The following is a 20,842-nucleotide window of genomic DNA, read 5'->3' as shown; positions in this document are numbered from 1 at the left end:
AGGCTGAGGCAGGAGGATTGCTTGAACCCAGGAGGTGGAGGTTGCAGTGAGCTGAGATCGTGCCACTACATTGTAGCCTGGGTGACAGAGGGAGATTCTGTCTCAAACAAAAAACAACAAAAAAAATTCACAGAATCAGTTCTGTGGATAATATCAGAAGCCTTATGTTTCCTTAGGCAGGGCTTTTTCAGCTATTTGTGGTGAAGGCCCAGGCTTGTTTTTCTTTTTTAGATTTCCATTCTTTCATGGATCAATACATTTATAAAATATGATAGAATGAATTATAAGAAATACGAAATTTAAGACCGGGCACCGTGGCTCACGCCCCTAATCCTAGCACTCTGGGAGGCTGAGGTGGGCGGATCACCTGAGGTCAGGAGTTCAAGACCAGCCTGGCCAACATAGTGAAACCCTGTCTCTACTCAAAATACAAAAATTAGCCAGGTGTCGTGGTGTGTGCCTGTAATCCCAGCTACTTGGGAGGCTGAGGCAGGAGAATCTCTTGACCTGGGAGGCGGAGGTTGCAGTGAGCTGAGATCATGCCACTGCACTTCATCCAGCCTGGGTGACAGAGCGAGACTCTATCTCAAAAACAAAAAGGAAATAAGAAATTTAAGACATAAAAATGCAAGAACAATTTTTGTTATTAGATGTAAGAGACATAAAATTACTTTTTCAAATTACTGTGAAAGGTTATAAACAGGTACTCTTGCTTTCTGATCTTGTCATGGATGGATGGCAGGCAATTGGCAGGTCATACTGGTCCTTGGATAACAGTCTGAGGATCACTGCCAAGGGTAAAGAAAGACTTAGTGAAAAGTCACTTTTCTTTTTAGAGCAGTTAGTGAAATTACTATTTGAAAACCTTAACTTAGGAACAGAAAGCAGGAGCTTAATTTTGCTAATTTAAATAACTCAGCTTTTAGTTGTCATAGCTTACCAGATTTAATTTGATTTAAGTTCAATATGCAGAACTTCCTTGTTGTTTTCAGGGCCCTTGAACTATAAAGGACATAGAATATTCCAAGAAGCAAAAATATTTTTTAGGTGTATTAATATGTTTGATTTTTCTCTGGGTAATCATTAGCCCAATATATTTGGCATCTGATGTCTTCCAATGGCAGATATAAAGGAAAGAGTTATCGGGCTACTGTTGAGATAGTGAAAACAGCAGATCGGGTGACTGAATTCTGCCGGCAAACCTGTATCAAACTGGAATGCTGTCCTAACCTCTTCGGTCCACGGATGGTTCTGGATAAGTGTTCTGAGAACTGTTCTGTACTTACAAAGACCAAATACAGTGAGTCATGTTTTTCCAATGTGTTAACCATAGCAGCTGACCATACCTTACATCTTGGAAAGTTTTTTACTTTACAGACATTCATATATAGCAGAGGCACACGAACTTCTTCTGTAAAGGGCCAGATGATAAATATTTCATGTTGTGGGTCATATGCTTTCTGTCACATATTCTTTTTCTATGTGTTGTGTTTTCATTTTTTAAGAACCCTTTTGGCCGGGTGTGGTGGCTCATGCCTGTAATCCCAGCACTTTGGGAGGCCGAGGCAGGCGGATCACTTGAGGTCAGGAGTTCGAGACCAGTCTGGCCAACATGGTGAAACCCCGTCTCTACTAAAAATAGAAAAACTAGCTGGGTGTGGTGGCACCTGCCCGTAATCCCAGCTGCTTGGGAGGCTGAGGCAGGAGAATCACTTGAAAGCGGGAGATGAAGGTTGCAGTGAGCTGAGATTGCGCCACTGCACTCCAGCCTGGGTGACAAAACGAGACTCTGTGTCTCCAAAAAAAAAGAACCCTTTAAAAAATGTAAGGGTAATTTTTGGCTTGGGGGCTATACCAAAACAGGTCATGGGCCAGACTTGACTCATGGGCTTTAGTGTGCCAACTTTTATATATAGCATGTATATAAATTAGTTATTGTATCTAATAGGATATGTAATTCATTCATACAATCTGCAAGTATATATTTTGTGCTCATTGTGTGCTTATGCTGCTCTAGCACTGGGATACAACAATAAAGAAAACAAATTCCTATCCTCAGTGAGTTTACCTTTAATGTGGGAGACAGATAACAAACAAGGGAAGAAATTTAGAGAGGGGTCAGTATTTAGAGAAATACTGTGGGGAACAGTGAAGCAAGGTGGGCAAGCAAAATAGGACAGTGAGGAAGGCTGGGAGGTGGGGTGCTGTTTATGCAAGGGGTCAGGGAAGTCTTTCTGACAGGTAACACCTTGAAGGAAACAGGAGCCAGCTGTGCAGAGAGCTGGGTGGGAGTGTTCTGGGGAGGGGGCATCAAGGGCACAGGCTTGAGGCAGAAGCTTGCTTAGTGTCTCTGAAGAGCAGCAATGAAGCCACACTAGTTGGGGAGGTGGAAATAGGAGAGGAGGTAGTTGCAACCTCACCTTGAACTGTCATAGCACCTATTCGCTGTCCTTGCTTATCTTCTTTGAGAAACTGGGGCAGGGGTCACATAGGATGAAATTTACAATTTGGAGCCTTGTCAAGGCATTGCCACCCAAAGACAAAATTCTGATCCTACCTTTCCTTAAATCCTACAAGCCCTATGTCACTTGGGAGAATCACTACAGAGGAGGATTTTTACCTTGTTAAAATGGAAAGATTTCTTTTAGGGATCTGTGCCTCTTAAACTATAGTGCATGCAGATCACTGAAGGATCTTGTTAAAATGGAGCTTCTGATGTATCAGGTCTGTGGGTATCTGGGTCCTGAGTATCTATCTGCATTTCCAACAAGTTCCCAGATGCCACTGATGCTATTGATCCAAGGTCCATACTTAGTATGACGAGCTTTCTAATCAGTATTTAAATTACAAAATCTTATAAGTCTAACCTTCTAGTTTCTATTTATATTTATTGGATTGTAAACTCCTTAAGAGTAGGAATTATCTTAGCTTCTTGTATCAGACTCAGCACTTAGTTTAGGAAACTGCAATTATTAGGAGCTGAGTGAAAAATACTATTCATGTAAATGCATATATAAGCACACTACTCTGAAGGAAGATATGTGAGGGGAAGATATGTGGATTTTATTGTGCCTTTTGTCTGAATTTATCTTTCACAATAATATAGTTGAAATTAGCCTAGAATTTAGAAGGACAGTTATAATTTTTCCCAGTTAGTAATTTGAATGATGTCAAATGGATTCGTATCCTTTAGAAAATTTCCATTTTTTTCACAAAATTGTATTATATTTTGATATTACTTTAATACATAACTCAGCTAGAATATGTATGTTTCATTTCTGGAATGTATATTCTAAAATTTATATGAAAATGCAGAGGATCTAGAATAGCTGAAACAATTTGGAAAAAAGAATAAAGTTGGAAGACTTAGTCTCTCTCTTTTTTTAACCATAAAGTTATAATAATCAAGAGTGTGGCATTAAAGAATAGTCAAGCCGGGTGCGGTGGCTCACACCTGTAGTCCCAGCACTTTGGGAGGCCGAGGCAGGCAGATCACCTGAGGTCAGGAGTTCAAGACCAGCCTGACCAACATGGTGAAACCCCGTCTCTAGTGAAAATACACAAATTAGCTGGGCGTGTGGTGGCAGACGCCTGTAGTCCCAGCTACTCAGGAGGCTGAGGCAGGAGAATCACATGAACCCAGGCGGTGGAGGTTGCAGTGAGCCAAGATCACGCCACTGCACTCCAGCCTGGGTGACAGACTCTGTCTCAAAAAAATAGAACAATGGGACAGACCACAGGGTCCAGAAATAGAGCCAAACTTAACATGGTTAAATGATTTTCAACAAGAGAGATGAAGAAATTTAAGGGAGAAAGGAAATTCTTTTTAACAAATAGCACTGGTACAACCAGATATCCAAATAGAAAAGAAACATATAATAAAACACACGACTCAAAAACATTATGCCTAGTAGAAGAAGTCACACATGGCTGCTGGACGTGGTGGCTCATGCCTGTAATCCCAGCACTTTGGGAGGCCAAGGCGGGCAGATCATGAGGTCAAGAGATTGAAACCATCCTGGCCAACATGGTGAAACCCCGTCTCTACTAAAAGTATAAAAATTAGCCGGGCATGGTGGTGTGTGCCTGTAATCCCAGCTACTCAGGAGGCTGAGGCAGATGAATTGCTTGAACCTGGGAGGCAGAGGTTGCAGTGAGCCGAGATCGTGCCACTCCACTCCAGCCTGGCGACAGAGCAAGACTCCATCTCAAAAAAAAAAAAAAAAAAAAGTCACACACAAAAAAGTGCTTACTGTGTGGTTCCATAGAGGCAAAGCTAATCTATAGTGATAGTGTTTAGAATAGTGGCTGCTTCTAGTAAGGGGTACTGACTGGGAAGGGACCATGGGAGCTTTCTGGGTTGAAGATGTTCTATATACTTTGATATGGAGGGATCATTCAGTACTAGTCAAACCGTGCACTTCAGATCTGTTTATTCCACTCTATGGAATTTAAACCCCAATCAAATACAATGTACCTGTTTTTTGCTATGCTAATAAAATCTCTTGTGGTTTTGAGGTACACAAAAATAATGAAGCTACTTCATTTTTCTTTGTCATCCACATTTAGCACACTATTACGGAAAGAAGAAAAATAAAAGAATTGGGAGGCCACCTGGTGGGCATAGTAACTTAGCTTGTGCCCTGAAAAAAGCCAGTAAGAGGAGAAAGAGGCGGAAAAATGTTTTTGTTCATAAGAAGAAACGCTCCTCTGCATCTGTTGATAATACCCCAGCGGGCTCTCCCCAGGTATGAGATCTGTGATGTGCCTGTAATGTCTTGAAGCCAAGTGACCACTGCTTTATAGTATGGACACAGAATACCTGCAGGTCTTTCTAACTCAGATCTCTGGCCAATAGAAGATGGTTTTGTGGCCCAAGAACTGGTTTGTCCTGAATTTCTTTTCTTTCTTTATTATTTTTTTTTAATCATATGAAACCTGGGATTGATGTCCTGAATTTCAATGAGACTTCTCTCCTTTTCCTGCAGGGAAGTGGGGGTGAAGATGAGGATGACCCAGATGAAGGGGATGATGATTCCCTAAGTGAAGGCAGTACATCCGAGCAGCAGGATGAGCTACAGGAAGAATCAGAAATGTCAGAAAAAAAGTCATGCTCCTCTTCTCCCACCCAAAGTGAGATATCCACATCGCTGCCTCCAGATAGACAAAGGAGAAAAAGGGAGCTTCGCACCTTTTCATTTTCTGACGATGAAAATAAACCTCCTTCACCAAAGGTACCATTTAAAAAATAGTTTCTTTTTTCTTTCTTTCTCTCTGGAATTTCCATCTGGAATATGATTATTAGTGATATTGACATTCTACTTCTTTCAATACAGACTTATGTAGAATTTCCAGGGTCTCTTGTAAAGTGACCCCAAATGCAGTGATTTACATGTGTTTCAAGGATTAGTTGAGATCATCTACTTATAGGGGGAAAGTCTCTCTCAGAGTAGCTGCTTGTTTTAACAACAACAACAAAAAAAGCCCCATTGCTAGCTTATTTGTAGCTTGTCATTTATTTTTGGGAAAACTGCCTTTTTAATATGTTTCATAATATATATGGTTTTGTAGAAAAAAGTTATCCTTTTGATTCTGGTTAAGCCATTTGGCTTAATATATTATTTACTATATACATATGAACATTTTATAACATATGTATAACACTAAAGAACAATTTAGTGTTCAAAAACTAGATTGCTTTTTAAGAATATTCCATGAACAGAAGCAGTAAAGATTCCTCCTGGTAGTTTAGTTAAGCCTTCTCTCAATGGAATTATCATCCCCTTCTCTTCAGCACCCTGTTTTTCTTAGTTAAATTGTCTAAATTATCTGTGCTGGAACTTTGAGATAAATTCTTTCCCATTGATACTTCGTATTATAAAAGACAGACATTTCCTGAGTACCTGATGCACGTGGGTCTTTGCCATCTTTGCTGGGAGAAATCATGTCCTAAGACCACTTTAAATCATGTCTTGAAAGATTATGAATTTAGGTAGAGAGACTTTTTTAGAATAAAATAGCCGTAACACCATTTGGTTTGATTGTGTTGTGGGGAATGAAGGAAATAAGGATCGAAGTTGCTGAAAGGCTTCACCTGGACAGTAACCCCTTGAAGTGGAGTGTGGCAGACGTTGTGCGGTTCATCAGATCCACTGACTGTGCTCCATTAGCAAGAATATTCCTAGACCAGGTAATCACAGATACCTATAATTTTTAGTAATGTCTCTTTAGCAATAAATTATGGATGTAATAGTCAACAATTTATTTACAAGTTTTAGGAAAAATGTTTTGATCCAAAAGACAAGAATTGTCTTAATTCCATTTTTAGGAGTCAAAGATGATAAAAAGTTATTTATCAGACTTGCTTCATAGTTGAAGGAGATTATCATTGCATTCCAGTTTTTCCTAAGAATTTGATTCCATCCCTCCAATATCAAGCATACCATGCTTAATTGTCCACATCTTTTCAAAAATAATGATTTGCTTGTTTAAAAAAAAATAGCATCTGTCACATTAGGCTCTAGAGTGGTGATAAGTTTTAAGGCAAGCTTGCTGAAACACAGTCAGTGGCCTTAAACATTGAAATAAGTTTTGTTTAGAAAATTAGGGAGATTCAAGAGCTTATCGGGTTTTTATGAATGTTACAGAGTAGGAAAACATTGAAGTTGATAGTTAATCCTTTGTTTCAGATTTAGAAGGAACCCTCTAAAAAGATGGCACAATTAGTTGCCAGTTACAGGGCTAGTCAGTTTACTAAATTTCTATGGGACAGAGACTCTGGAATGGATTCTTATCCTTGGTAAAACTTTATTGTCCTCAGTAAAACTTTATTAATTCTGAAGCTTCATTAGTGTGGAAGACTATGGAGTCACTTAAAAGGAAGTGTGTGATACCTAAGACGAAAAAGTAAGGAAAGGAAAGCATAGGGATTCCAGTTTTGACAGAGCTAAAGTGAGGAGAGGCTGTCATGATCAAGCTGCCTTTCATGTGCACATCACAGATAATTTGTCTTTTATGCTTTAACAGGAAATTGATGGGCAGGCCCTGTTGCTCCTTACCCTTCCCACTGTTCAAGAATGCATGGACTTAAAATTGGGCCCTGCCATCAAACTTTGCCATCACATAGAGAGGATCAAGTTTGCTTTTTATGAGCAGTTTGCCAACTGAGAAGGACAACCAAAGTGAGCTGGATCTTTGAAGCACAAATGCAGCAAATCCTTCACCCTGCTTTATAAGTGGAGCTGGAATAGTCCTGGGGCTCTGGGGCCTGCAGGTATCAGCTTGCTCTCTTTGCACTTTCGGGGAAGGAGGACTCACAGTGAGGAAGCAAAAACTGTGCACAGAAGTGGATCACCTGCTGGTGGAAATGTGGACATCTCTTGTTCAGCAGATGGCAGTTTTTAAAAAATAAAGGTTGTGAGGAAAAGACTTATATAAGAAGAAAAGCATTTCCAGTGGTGTGGCCTGAAAACAAAGAATAACCTAGGCTGCTGGAAAGCACCCTTTTGGTTGTTTTCATTCTGTTCCCTCCCATTGTAGATTGAACTTTGTTCTCTGCTTTCTTTTTCTTGGAAAGAGAGGACTTAGCTTTAAGTCAGCACTGATTTGGGACTGTTCCTAAGGCATATCAGTGCTTCATTGTCATTGTGTTTTTAAACTTTTTAAAATTAAAACAGTTCATTTTGGGGATGATTATGTGGCTCTAGGGTTTTGAATGTATAGTCACACTTTGATCATTTTAAAATCGATTCTTAGGAGTTCCTTTGTTTACTACCTCTGTTGATAATTGAGCTTACAGCCATGTATGAGGTTTTTTGTATGATGCCATTTTTAAGCTACATAAACACTAAAATTATGACAGAATTTGGAGGGGGGGAAACTGTTTGCTTTCTTAAAAACATTATATGGGGCACTTACACCAGTTCCTTAACTGACCTGATCTGAGAACTCTACTGTTACTGTTCTCCATCTTGACCCAGCCGAGGCTGCCTGTGTTAAGTAACATCACCAAGACTGTTAGTATTTCTGTTTAATTGCCCTCTTCCTATTCATTCTCAGAGGGACTTCAGTGACTTTTATTTTGTGTTTACTTTTCTCTAGAGTTGTTTGTCTACCTCTGTTTCATTTCTAAGGTCTTTACTTTGGGTGAAAATCAGTAAGTGTTCCATGGACCCACAGCGAAGCCCATTTGTCCTTCTTTCCAGGTGTCTCCAGTGTAGAAGCACAGCACAGAAAACATGTTTTGGAGGGTAACGCAGAGCATGGAGTTTCTGTTAGCAGTGTCCTCAGTGGCAGGATAAATACTGAGATGTGGTTAAGGATTCTGGAAACCTCTTTGCCTAGCCACACTTAGACTTTTTTCAGCTAATCCTTTAAATTGAATATAATCTTTAGTCCGAGGATTCCCATTTAAACAACTCAGTATTCTTTTAAGTGTGTCTTTTAGCCCAGCTCAAGTTAACATGAAACTCCAGGTGAATTTTCACTTACTATTCCATTGCTAGCTATTATAGAATAATAGCGTTTGCTGCACTATTCTAGTCATGAGGAGTGAGGAAAAACATACATAGGTTGTCTCCCTTAAATGGTTTGCTTTGCTGAATTTTTTTTATCCTAATCACCTGCAAATTTATAACCCAATCATTCTTCCTCAAGATTTGAAAATGTTTTAATCCTGCAAACTGGGTGAATTCTAAACAGCTCTACAAATATAAGGAAATATTACAGCAAATTTTAACTGATTGTGATTTTTTTTTCCCATTCCCCACCACCCCAACCTATTTTTGTGGACATTGATGAATAATCTGGAGCCTCTCTTCATTGGGTAATTCATAAACCAACTTAACTCAAGCCCTGCAACTAAATCATACATTAAATCATTAACTCTTCACTTAGGTTCCTACCAGATCTATCTGGGAAGAAGCTTCATTTAAGTAAAAATTAGTATGTTTGAAACTTAGAGATCCAGTTTTTAAAAATTTAAATCTGTGTCTGTGGAAGACAAGGATATATAGGGAATGCTAGGGAATAATTAGCATTAAACATTAAGCTTTTGGTGGGTAGTGGTGGTAATCTTGCTTAATGAAATTTCCTGAGAGTTCAGTCAAGGTACTAAGGAAAAGAGGGCCCCTTGAGGAAGAATAATGGAACAGAATTTCTGGAATTAATGTTTAGGGCCTCGTGTTATTATCTTATTTAGGAAAGTGAAATATATTTCCTATAAGAGGGAATTTACCAAACACAAGAACAATGAATGCTTTATTTTGTCTCTCTTTTGACTTCTCCAGAAACCACAGAATTAAGAATCATCTCCCTTCACAGGTGAGGGGATGAAGGCGCTGAAGGGCAAAACATACAGCCCTACGTAGTCTCTGATCTAGGTAGAGTCAGAGCCCAACAGGCTTGTTTATACCATGATTATTCAGGCTCAGCCCGTTCCTAGAGAAAGGCTGACTCTAAATGGTCAAGTAAGTTGAGTTTCCCTTAATATTTCTTGCATTCTCCTATTAAGGCATAGTTTATTAGGCAATTGCATAAAGAATTATATCCCCCAGCGCCGACTCCCGTATATTATGTAAGCAAGGATAATTGGGAATTTAGCACAGGGCACTTTTTTAACTTAAAGTTTGGACTTAATTTACCTCACAAAGCTGCTGGGACTGGGCTAGATAACAATGATGTTCTGGTTACTGTGATGCTGAAACAGATTTCAAGCCAGATAATAGCTCACCATGTTGGGGTAAAATGTTGGTATGTTGCACACAGGTGCAAGAACTTTGTTTTTTAGAGAGACCAACTTCTTAAATGTGTAACAGTCACATTGTGAAGGGACTGCATTTGTCTGGATTTCACCTGCAGCTGGGCCCACAGCCTGCCTGAGGTCAGAAAATTTTTCATGACCCATTTTTTACCCTGAATTGACAAGTTTAGAAAACAGGTTAATGGACTACTTCATCCTCCTGGACCTTGAAAAGCTGGCTGACCAATATTAGACTACTACTGCTCAATTAGTGTGCTAGGGAAACCTTTTTGCTGCACATGCAGATTTTTCTGTGACATTTTGACTAGATTTTGAGGGCTTCTGGGGACTATGCTGTTTTCCTTTGTACACCATCTTCATCCTTCTCATTTGAAGCAGAGTTGAAGTGGCTAATGCAGGGAATGCATTTATGGAAGCTTGCACGCTATCTGCCTTTGTTCAGCAATGCAGGTGGCTCCTAGCATTTATCTATGTTATAGATATGTGAGGTCAGGGAAGGGTACTTACTAACCTCTGGAAAAGATGAGCTTCTTGATAAATATTTATTGACTTATGGTAGAAGCAAACATAGAAAACTAGTTCAGAACTTAGCCTTAATATGCCTTTTCTCCTGGAAGTAAAATATTCTCACTGTGAGAGAGAAGACATTGGACCTTAGCTTCCAGAGGACCTGGATACACTTTACTTGCTCTCTAGTACCAATTCAGTCACGAATGTGGTACCTGAATACAATTTAAAAGCTTTAGGAGGCCTTAGGTAGGGTGGGACTCAGAATCATTTCCCTCTCTCAAGCCAAAAAGTGTTTCTGAGGGACACATAGAATATCAGGCAATCTAGATGGGAACATTTGGGAAAACTATCACAGGCAATTATATTTACTTGGCACCTATATCACCAAAGATTGTTCTATTTGAGACACCATTTACTGGTTTAATTGATCAACAGTGGAACACACCCTGGATTTGAACTCTGATCCTGTATATTGAGGATGTGCCGTGTGTGCACACACCAGTTCAGAAGTGTTCTGTGTTATCAGTAGGAAATCTGTTGGTCTTATGAAGTTAAATGAGTAGAAGGCATCACTACAAAAAATGAAGTACAAATCTTGGTGGGGACCAGATGCCCCCTTTGCAAGCTTGGATTTCCTTGCTCCTGGGTCCACTGTAAGCAACCATATGTTTGTCATGGTGCTGACTCAGAAATCGTAGGACAGAGAGCCTCCTGCAAAACCAAAAAGAAATGTTACTTTCCTGCGATTATAATTCTTCCTTGACTTTGTTCACTTTAGATGTTTTACTAGTGAGTTTTGATGACTCCCACCCCTTATGTGAGAATGTGCATACTTTGGAAACTTGAATTTATCCAAACAAGCTACCTATGACTTAGAGTTTGGGCATAAGTTTTAAATTCAATGCTCAGTCGAACTGGATCTGGTTCCAGGCCCACTCCAAGGGTGGTTTCAGGGGTGTTTTTTCAGTACTTGTCCCAGACCACACAGGTAGCCTTGTTTCTGAGGGCAGCTTTATGGGGAGGTGTAGAAGGTGGTGGGCAGCAAATGCACTGCAGAGTCATTTTCTTGGGTATGGTGTTTAAGAAGCCTGAGATTTTCACAAGAACCAGCAAAACCAGGAGTGGAGAGTTGGGGAGATAGAGAAGTAGGCCTAAAACTCCCTCTTCTTGAGTCTTTTTTGACTTAATACACCATTGGGTCTGTCCTGGTGCTATGGCCTATCACAAAGGACTGTTTTAAGAGAGAAGCAAGCCACAGCCTTGCCAGATAAGTCTCCAACACCAGCAGAAAAGCACGGACCCTGATCTGTGGGAGGCAAGGGTCTCCCATTATTTCTGGAGGCAAATGGTGCCTTCTAGTGAAATGGTGCCACCATTTGCTGATGGGGGTGCCTGTTCTCAGGATGTGTGGAAACTCAGGCCTGAGGGTTTCTACATGGTTTATTCAATCTAACTGCATACCTAGCTTGGCAGAATGGAGGTGGACAAAAGTGCTGAAAGGATGAGGGTAGGCTTTTAGGGCAAATCAAGTCACAAAGCAGATGATTGAGGGAGGTTACAAAGCTTAGGCAGAGTTAAAGTTGGGCAGTCCATTAGCTCCTTTTGCAAGAATCTCTGGAGACGGTAGTTTGAATGTTTCCCTTGAGATTTCAAGTGCTCATTTCTTTTCCCCTCCCTTCCTTTCTTCCTTTTTTTTTTTTTTTTTTTTTTCATTGAATATTCTCTGAAGACAATCAGAGGCCTGCCAGGGAGGGACTCCTGGCTGGTTCCAGCACTGTCCTTAGGCCTCTTTTTAATACTAACTTGTTGGAACTGATGCACTTTGTTTAATGTATTTTACCTTTTTTTTTTAAAGCTGCTCATTTAGAACAAAATCAAATGCTTATTGCATTGTATCCTTCCTGCTTGCTGTTTTTCCTCTTAATTTCAAAAGTTATGCATTAAAGATAAAAGTACACTTAAGAAGTATGCACAAGAATACCTATTAAAATAACTACCATCAAGTTTGATGGTATAACTTCAAAGGATTAAAAAAAACTATTTTGGATTAATATTTTGCGTGTTTTTTTTGTAAATATGATTGTATATAAACTGGTGGTACGTTATGACAGTTTTAAGTGGTTGTGAGAAAACTAAAGAGAACAGGTCTTAAGCTATGTTTAACCTTAACTTTGTGCTGATTTGACAACAAGGAAGGCATTTTGGCCAGAGTAAATTTTTTAAAACTCTTTCCAGCGGGACCTCAGAGAATCATTTCCAAATAGATGAGAAGTTCCTTCCTACTTTAATAAAACTCCGGAATTCTTCCCCCTCTCTTGCTGTCTCATCCTTTACCTTCTGGATTTAGGTGCTTTTTAATTCCAGTTCAGGAAAGATAGGAAGAGTAGAATTTCCCCACAGCAACCTTGCTCCTGACATTGGGGATTCCGCCCCTGATCTCTGAAGACTGCTTCTTGTTTGTTCCTCTGTGAGCCTTAAGGATTCCTCCACAGCTGGATGTGCAGAACAATTCTTTGTCAAAAACATCACTTTTCAGCTCTATGTCCAATTTTCCTTGAGCTGTCTGTGTCTTCAAGCAATCAATAGTCTCCTTATGCCCAACCACAATCTATTCTGCTTTAAGACGTAGCCTCTTGTTTGGTTCTCTCTAAACATGTACTGTTAACTGTTGAGCATCCTCATAAGATCCCTCTTAGACTAAAAGACAGTCATGCAATTTTAATTTTCCCTTATCCATTTATTTTTTTAATCTGATTTTCTGTATTTGCCCACGGCCAGTACTTGTGGAGAGTTTAAAATTTTATAAATTAAAATTCCATTTAAATTAAGCATTTTGTCGCATGTTCTCTGTACCAGGCACCATACTGAATTTGAATTGAAGGGTAAATAAAAATAATTCCTGCCCTCAGGAGGCTCACACTTAGCTGTGGGAGAGAGACATGTGTACAGCTGTCAAATTTAGCAGTCTGAAAAGTTTTGGTGGAACAGTACACACTAGGTAATGTGGGAGCAAGAGGGAGAGGGAGGTCAGAAAGGCTTTGACACATGAGGAGCAGTTCATGGAGCAGGGAAAAGGGAATGGCATCCATGCAGCTAGAATGCTACATAAAGGCACAGAGGTGTGAAAATGTAAGAGAAGGCTGGAGAATTGCATTTTTATTCTCTAATCAGGTTAATATTCCTGTTCACCAAGAAAGCTTTTAGCTAGCATATAACCCTCTTAGGTAATTGGAATTTGGGGGGCTATTTAATAGGAAACTTTTTCCTAGAGATGATATTTACCGTTGAAAACACGTAGCTCAGTATCAACTGGACTTACACCATATGTTCACTGACATTCTGCAGCAGGAAGGTCAGCGGCTCTAGAGCACCAACAAGAAGGTATCCAGAGAGAGCCCAGATTGGGCTGGGAGAATGGGTGAGTGTCAACTGGACTTACACCATGTGTTCACTGACATTCTGCAGCAGGAAGGTCAGCGGCTCTAGAGCACCAACAAGAAGGTATCCAGAGAGAGCCCAGATTGGGCTGGGAGAATGGGTGAGTGTCAACTGGACTTACACCATGTGTTCACTGACATTCTGCAGCAGGAAGGTCAGCGGCTCTAGAGCACCAACAAGAAGGTATCCAGAGAGAGCCCAGATTGGGCTGGGAGAATGGGTGAGAGAATGGGGACTCAGGGTCTTGTTAAAGGCAGAGCACAGGTTCTGAGAAGTTGGAAAGGGTTAGATGGGAGTGTGTGTGTGCAGGGGGATGTTGGAGCCTGGAAAATACCAACCATTTGTCTTTTACACTCTAAAGGTAGTTGTGCTCCCCAAGTGAATAAGGTGGGACATGTGCACGTCAGGTTTTCAGTGTGAAACCTGGTATATTTCCAAATGAAAGTGATTGGATTCAGGTGACCATTTAAATTATGTCTATGAAAAAAGAAAATAGACTTGGGGCCTTGATAAGCCTTTAGCTAGGGAAGTAGGAAAAAGACTCAAATGTCTGGGTTGGAGGGAAGACTCCTGTACTCAGTCTCAGATTGTTTTCCTTATTCACTTGCTTCAGAATAATCCAGGCTGCAAACTATTGGGACCCACCCCAGAACTACTGAATCACGATCTCTGAGGGTGGAATTCAGGAATGATGATAATTTCTCCAGGATATAGGGATTTTCCTTAGAGGGAAAAATAATTTGACCACAGGCCGTCCCAGCTCCTACCTCCGGACCTGGAGCTCGTGATTCCCAGGCTCTCATTCCGGTCTGCGGTGGCCGGCTCACCTGGCCTGTCTACCTGCGGGCGTGGCGGGGTTGGAGAGGGGAGCGGGACCCGCGACCCCGCCCCGTGGCCCGGCCGGAGCCCCGCCCCTCGGGGGCGGGTGGGGAGAGCTGCCGCGGCCGAGGCCCGCCCCAACCTTGGCTGCGCCAATCAGGCACTGCGATCTCAGACGTCGGGTTACGCGCGGCGCGGAGTCGGCGGCCGGGCGGAGGTACCGGCTCAGGCTTGGGATCCCGGCTGCGGGTTTGGCGGCGCTGCGCCGGCAGGCAGCGAGGCCGGGCGGGCCCTGGGCCCTCGCGCCCCTCCCGCGAGGCCTGTCATGCAGGGCCCCGCCGGGAACGCGAGCCGGGGACTGCCAGGCGGGCCGCCCTCCACAGTCGCGTCCGGGGCGGGCCGCTGCGAGAGCGGCGCGCTCATGCACAGCTTCGGCATCTTCCTGCAGGGGCTGCTCGGCGTCGTGGCCTTCAGCACGTTAATGCGTGAGTCTGGGACCCCCCGACCCTCCGGAGGCCCTGCGCGGCAGCCGCGGCCCGGCCCCCCTGGGGGCCCCTCCTGCGCGGAGAGTTCAGGCCTTGGGACCCGAATTGCTCCTCCCCCGCAAACCCAGGCTGGGTATTCCTGCACTAGGGGTAGCCCGAGCCCCTCACCTACTCGCTGTGGCCTCCAGACAGGAGTGACCCTTCCCCTTTCCACCTTAAACGTCTGTCTTTTGAGACGCCAGTCTAAAACTCGCCTACCTCCCACCTTACCATCTCGAATTGTTACCCCACTTCCCAGCCTGGAATCATGACCCCCAAGGGTGACATCCCCTTGTCCGCCCCTTCTCAGGGGCTCTTCGTGCTTAGAACCCACATCCCTCAATCCCCAGTGCGATGCTGAGCTCTTTTCTGCCCCTTCACTCTTCAAGGATCTGCCTTCTCCGTTCACATTTAAATCCTGCTACTTTGCATCCCTCTCAACACCTGGAGTGTTAGGGCCATGCCTTCCGTTTCCCAGTACCCGCCTCCCTCTCCGTGGCCCTTCTTCCTCAGCTTTAGTTTCCCTTTTGTCAGGGTAGGACCCACCCAGTCTGCCTTCTTCCCCAGATCCCCTTCCTCTCGTTTCTTCCGGAACAGGCCCACCTGTTCCATCTCTGTCCCAAGCTTTCCTAATAAGCCGCATCTATAGCTTCCCCTGGCTGTTCCCTTTCCACTTTTATTCTTTATATTTTAAGTTTCCTTTTCCATTAAACTTGGGCACCTTAGTGGCTGAATAGAGAAGGAAGCCCCCACCCTGTTCTCATGTGTGCTGATGGGGGGTGGGGGGGGGCTTCTGTTTTTCATCGTGTGCATCCTTCCCTTATTAAAGTAACAAGAAGTTTTGCTCGACATGTAAGCCTAGGAGTGCCCTTGTGACTGCGTTTTAGGGGGAAGGAAAGGTTATAACTATCTGTGCAGAGTCATTAATTCCAAAAATGACTTGTTCTCAAAACTTCCCCACTGTGCTTGTGTGGACAGAGTGGAGAGTTCCTGCAGAAAGTATGCTTTGGGGTACTCAGGAGGGATCTTGCAGCTGTGTGCCTTTGTCTTGTGGGGTCCAGTTGCTGGAGTGGCCACCTTGCTTGTTTATAACTTGGGGTTTCTTTGAGTGAATTCTCTCAGGCTTTAAGTAACCCTGAAGAGGCTCTGATCATGGATACCGCGTTCTTCTGGTGGCCTGTCCTTGATAAGTCTTATAAGTGCCCAACTGTCTATGTTTGCCACTTTTTCTTTCCTTTTTAGTCCCAACTTGCCTTGCTTTTTCTCTGCTAAACAAATACCCACTTGTTCCCACAGTAATAATTTGTGACAACTTAGCCAAAATCCGCTGCTGACTTGGGCGCATGTACTGTACGTGTGTGTTTTCAAGACATGGTGAGTGGATCTTCATACCCCTCCTACTTCTCTGTCCTCCAGACAGCCTTCCTTTCTCTCTGAAGGAAGTGTAGGTTAAATTTTTCTTTTGCTCCCTAACCTGAGGTTTCTTAGCCTAGCTCTGGCTGTTTCCATAGGTTTGATTGATGCTGATGGCCCGGCTTGTCCCCTAGGGTTTGACACTTGTGATTCAGAGAAGGAAATGTGATGATGACAGGGCAGAGTTGCTCACAGCTGAGAAGTGTATCGGGTTGAATGTGTTCTGAGTGGAGTCTTCAGGGACATATTCACTTCTTTACTTAATCTTCAGCGTGAGCACATGTGCAAATCCCACTGTGGTTGGTACTTTCTGTGTGCAGAGATTGAACTAGAAAGCAGTCTCTTGTTCACTGTGAGGCTTGACGTGGACGGAGCTTGTGGAAATGGCTGGTGGGTCCTGGGGTGATGTGGGTAGGAGTGATGGGGAGAAGAGCTGGAAAGGCTAGAGCTATGTCTGCCCTGACACAGAAATGGAGGTGAGAGCAAGAGCCTCCTCCCCCTACCTAGAAGCAGACAGAGCAGGCCAGGGCAATGGTACTCTGGGAGCTGGACAAGAAGAAGCCCACTGACTGGGATGCAGTCAGGGTGGGGCCCTTCTTATCTCTCAGATTTCTTGGTCCTGTTGAAATAGAACTGCGAGGCTTTTCCTTCTTGAACTACTGGGAAGAGGAAGAAATCTCTAAGGTGGAAGAGGAACGAGATCAAGGTAGCCTTAAGGAAGTACATCTGCGAGCCATTTGGCTTTGTCCTGGGCTATTAGTCCTCCGTCCTTCTCAGTCTGGCGGAGCTGCCAGGAGGGGCATCTGTTGAAGGCCAGGCTCCCCTGACGAGGGTCCCCCTCGCAGCCCTGAGGGAGGGAAGTCTTAGTGTGTGTTAAGGTGAGGCCACTCCATCCTTCCTCAGTTCTGTTATCTTCAAACATTTTAAATACCAACCAGTCTGTTCTGAGCAGTTTAAACAGCCGTTGTCCTTTGAGGGGCTGTTTTTGAGATCACAGTCTTTTCCCTTCTGAGTACCCGTGGCCCTCGAGGCAATGGGCTCACTGCCTGTCTTCTGGAACGCTTCCCCAGTCCTGATGGCCAACACTATTGTTTCCTGTTGGACCAGCTCTGACTGTAGAATGAACCCATTTCTCTGCAGACAAGCTGTGAGGTAGTTTTCCTTACTTCACCTCCCTGATTTCAGTGACCCCTCAGACCACTGTCTTTATGTTCCTTTTTCTATCCAGAAAAATCACTTTTTTCTCCACTTACACGTTGCCTTGTTTTTGTTTGTTTGTTTCTTTGTTTTTAATCTGGAGAGGTTTGTCCTGAAGGAAGATTACTTATATATATTAATGTCTCTGGGGAGGATTCTGGTTCTGCAAGAATTTCTCATTCTGGTGCTTTGATAGACTTCTTGCCTTACTATGTAGGGTTTATAGACCCTCTTGGTCCAGGCAGTTGAGAATGTATATGCCAGGTCATACATGGTAGCCCATTATTCAAGCTGCATAAACATGCAGACTGTTACAGGCACCACCCACACACATGTCCCAGTGTCAGCACTGCCTTGTTGAGTTGGCGGGCTTCCTAGAGGCTCCAGCTAAGGTACCCTGTGTACGCAAGGAAAGATGAACATACTCAGAGACAAGCTTATGAAGATACTTTCCACTTAGAGTTTTCTGAAGTGTCTGCTAGGTATCTGCATAGAAAGAAACGCTTTAAACGAGGGGGCTTTGCCAAGCAATTCCTCGTTTTGGTGGTTTTAAGCAATTCCTCGTTTTGGTGGTTTTGTCTATAGTCTGTGACTTGACAAAGTTGCTCAGCTAGGGTCTCAGCAGAACAGAGCTAAGCAGTCCTAGAGCTCAGCAAACTGTTCCAGTGCAGGGTAGCCAACCAGCTGTCAGCCAAAGGTCGTGTTGGCCAGTGTGTGTGTTGGCATTTGGGGGTGTTTGCTCTCAGGACATGTGAATGCAAAGCAAACTCAAGCCTCCCTCACCGTGCACAGTCAGGGTTCTGGGCTGAAGTGTAGACAGAATTGGTTTTTAATAAAACAAGCATTTTGAGAGCTTGGATAAATCTGCCTGCCTATTTTTGTTATAGACATGGGGCCTAGCCAGCTGGGAGAAATGTGTCCATGTTTTACAAAAACACTGCTAACATTGAGAAGTGATAACTTTTTTCCTGCAATCCAAAGTAAAAATCACAAACCAGTCCACTCAGCTTTGATATCTTAAATGAGAGTTTCTGGGGTTTTCTCCGTGGTAAACCGGCCTCCCTGTGTGCTCTGTGTGAACAGGCTTGTGTTGGCACAACCTTCCCTACGATCACCTCTCCCCACCCCATCCTGGTTTTTATCTCTAAAAATGTCAAACGTAGAAAACATGAAAAATAATACACTGAACATCTGTCTGCCCTCTACCTAGATTTAGCAGTTGTTCACATTTTGTCACATTTGCTTTACCTCTTTATGCTTTTTTTTTTTTGGCTGAGCCATTTGAAGGTAAATTGTGACCAGCATCACACTTTACTGCTAAATACTTCAGCTAAGTCTCCCCAAAATAAGGACAATCTCCCACATAACCACAATTTCATCATCATACTTAAGAGAATTAATAATAACTCCATGATATCATCTCATATCCAGTCCATAGTCACATTTCCCCAAATGTCACAAGTCTTTTATAGCTGGAGTTTTTAAAAGCTAAGATCCAATCAAGGTCCACACGTTGTGTCTGGTTACGTTTTCAGTCACTTTCGTTTCTAGAAGAACCTCCTCCTACACATACATGCACACTTTTTTTTTTTTTTCAATGTTTCTGGCTTTTTGAAGAGTTCTGGCTGCTTGTTGTGTGGAGTGCCCCACATTCTGGAGTTGTCTGGGTGTTTCCTTGTGGTGTTTGAATTGTTTCACTGGCCCCTGTTTTCCTGAGTTTGGTCTGGAGCAGTTATTAGATTCAGATACCCAGTTTTATGGCAAGAACACGCCATAAGCGGCGCTGTATGTTTCATGTACATTCCACCAGGAGGCATGTGACATCACGCTGCCCCACTATTAGTGTTAATAAGGTTGATGACTTGGTGATGGTGGATGGAAGACCTCTCAGTCTCTCCCTCGTAAAGGTACATCTTCCCCTGGGCAATTAATAAGGGATCTCTGCAGTGATAATACTTTGAGATCATGTGAATACTCTGTTTCCCAGTAGCCTTTCACCCAGTGATCACCTCCTCCTGGTAAAATAACAGAATACAGTGACAGCTGAATTGGAGCTGGAGCTCACGAGTGAAGGCGCCTGTCTTTGGGTCTGGAACCCAGCACAAACTCAATCAGTGTCGCTGTCCTTTCCTCCTTCTGGAGTGCCAGCATGGGCAAAGGAAGAACGCCCCTTTTTTCATGCCAAGCTGGTGTTGTGGCCAATGTTAGCATACTGGCTGGCTCAGAGCTTTCATTTTTAGAAAGTTTTCAGGTTTTCTAAATGTTTATTTATTTGGTAGCATTTATCCATAATGGCAATCTGCTGCTTGATTTATCATGTAACTTCATTAATTTCGAATAAAATCAGGACAACAGGAAGTTGTCTGAATTAGGGGACAATCTGAGTTGTAGAATAACTTACCAAATGCATTTTTTTTAAACTTTTGAATACCTCTGTTGGCCACATGTTGCCCTGTTGGGGCCTCTCATGCTTCTGCTGCTTTAATATCTGTTTAAAGTCTTTTGCAGTTAGTATATTTGCACAAACATGAAGATTTGTTGAAGGGGTTTTACAAGTGGTTAAAAATAACAGGATCCCTGGCTCTGGATCCAGCCTGACCCAGCATCCATGTCTGCTTCGCTCTGCCATGTGGTGCCCCTGAGCAACTTCTGCATTTCTCAAAGCTTCAGTTTTCTCCCCAGTAACATGTGGTAATAATCTGTCTTTTCTGGGGCTATGGAGATGAGAAAGAATGTGTTTGAGGAAGCTGGGTTGGTGTCAGGCACATGTTAGGCCCTCCTTGGGGGTGTGTCTTCATCCTTGTTATTACATTGTATTCATGAGTTGGGCTGAAAAATGTTTCACAAGTGCTTAAGTAACTTATTTTCTGAATTAGGTTAAACATTCCCCTTTCTTTCTTGTTTGTACAATGTCTTTACCTTTAGCCCTCTTCACAGAGTGCATGGCAGTGAAAAAAAAAAGAAAGAAAGAAAAGCACCTTTAGCCCAGCCAGCACAGTGAGTGTGAATCCAGATTAGCATGCGCCAAAACAAGGTGGCTTTCGTGGCCAAAATAATCTTCCTTGACCTAATCTTTCTTGTGTTTTTACCGGCAGGGCCCTCATGTGGGCTCTGAGAGAGAGGGCAGTGGGTGCCTGGGGCTGCCCCACTTCCAGGTGATGAACCTGCTTCAAGTCGCTGG

General features: G+C 42.9%; 3 protein-coding genes across 3 annotated transcripts in view, besides 1 other annotated feature; all 3 read left to right on the top strand.

The window, feature by feature from the left end:
* Window positions 1–8,731, top strand: part of SFMBT1 (Scm like with four mbt domains 1) — a 142,502-nt gene extending 133,771 nt beyond the window's left edge. The window contains exons 17-21 of the mRNA NM_016329.4: window positions 1,125–1,300; window positions 4,570–4,748; window positions 4,989–5,234; window positions 6,062–6,190; window positions 7,027–8,731. Coding sequence (NP_057413.2) covers window positions 1,125–1,300; window positions 4,570–4,748; window positions 4,989–5,234; window positions 6,062–6,190; window positions 7,027–7,167 — 871 coding nt within the window. The 3' untranslated portion in view covers window positions 7,168–8,731. The remainder of the gene's footprint in view (window positions 1–1,124; window positions 1,301–4,569; window positions 4,749–4,988; window positions 5,235–6,061; window positions 6,191–7,026) is intronic.
* Window positions 14,493–15,202: a silencer, noted in NCBI's record as "silent region_14454". NCBI's record gives its function as "represses an Ori minimal core promoter by ATAC-STARR-seq in GM12878 lymphoblastoid cells {active_cell/tissue: GM12878}" and the evidence as "EXISTENCE:reporter gene assay evidence [ECO:0000049][PMID:35858748]".
* The window catches only part of STIMATE-MUSTN1 (STIMATE-MUSTN1 readthrough), a 64,428-nt gene continuing 58,340 nt past the window's right edge, over window positions 14,755–20,842 (top strand). The window contains exon 1 of the mRNA NM_001198974.3: window positions 14,755–15,012. Coding sequence (NP_001185903.2) covers window positions 14,853–15,012 — 160 coding nt within the window. The 5' untranslated portion in view covers window positions 14,755–14,852. The remainder of the gene's footprint in view (window positions 15,013–20,842) is intronic.
* Window positions 14,755–20,842, top strand: part of STIMATE (STIM activating enhancer) — a 60,816-nt gene continuing 54,728 nt past the window's right edge. The window contains exon 1 of the mRNA NM_198563.5: window positions 14,755–15,012. Coding sequence (NP_940965.1) covers window positions 14,853–15,012 — 160 coding nt within the window. The 5' untranslated portion in view covers window positions 14,755–14,852. The remainder of the gene's footprint in view (window positions 15,013–20,842) is intronic.

The sequence above is a fragment of the Homo sapiens genome, chromosome 3 (assembly GCF_000001405.40).
Source record: "Homo sapiens chromosome 3, GRCh38.p14 Primary Assembly".
Lineage (NCBI taxonomy): Eukaryota > Metazoa > Chordata > Mammalia > Primates > Hominidae > Homo > Homo sapiens.
This window is presented reverse-complemented; position numbering and strand designations above follow the sequence as displayed.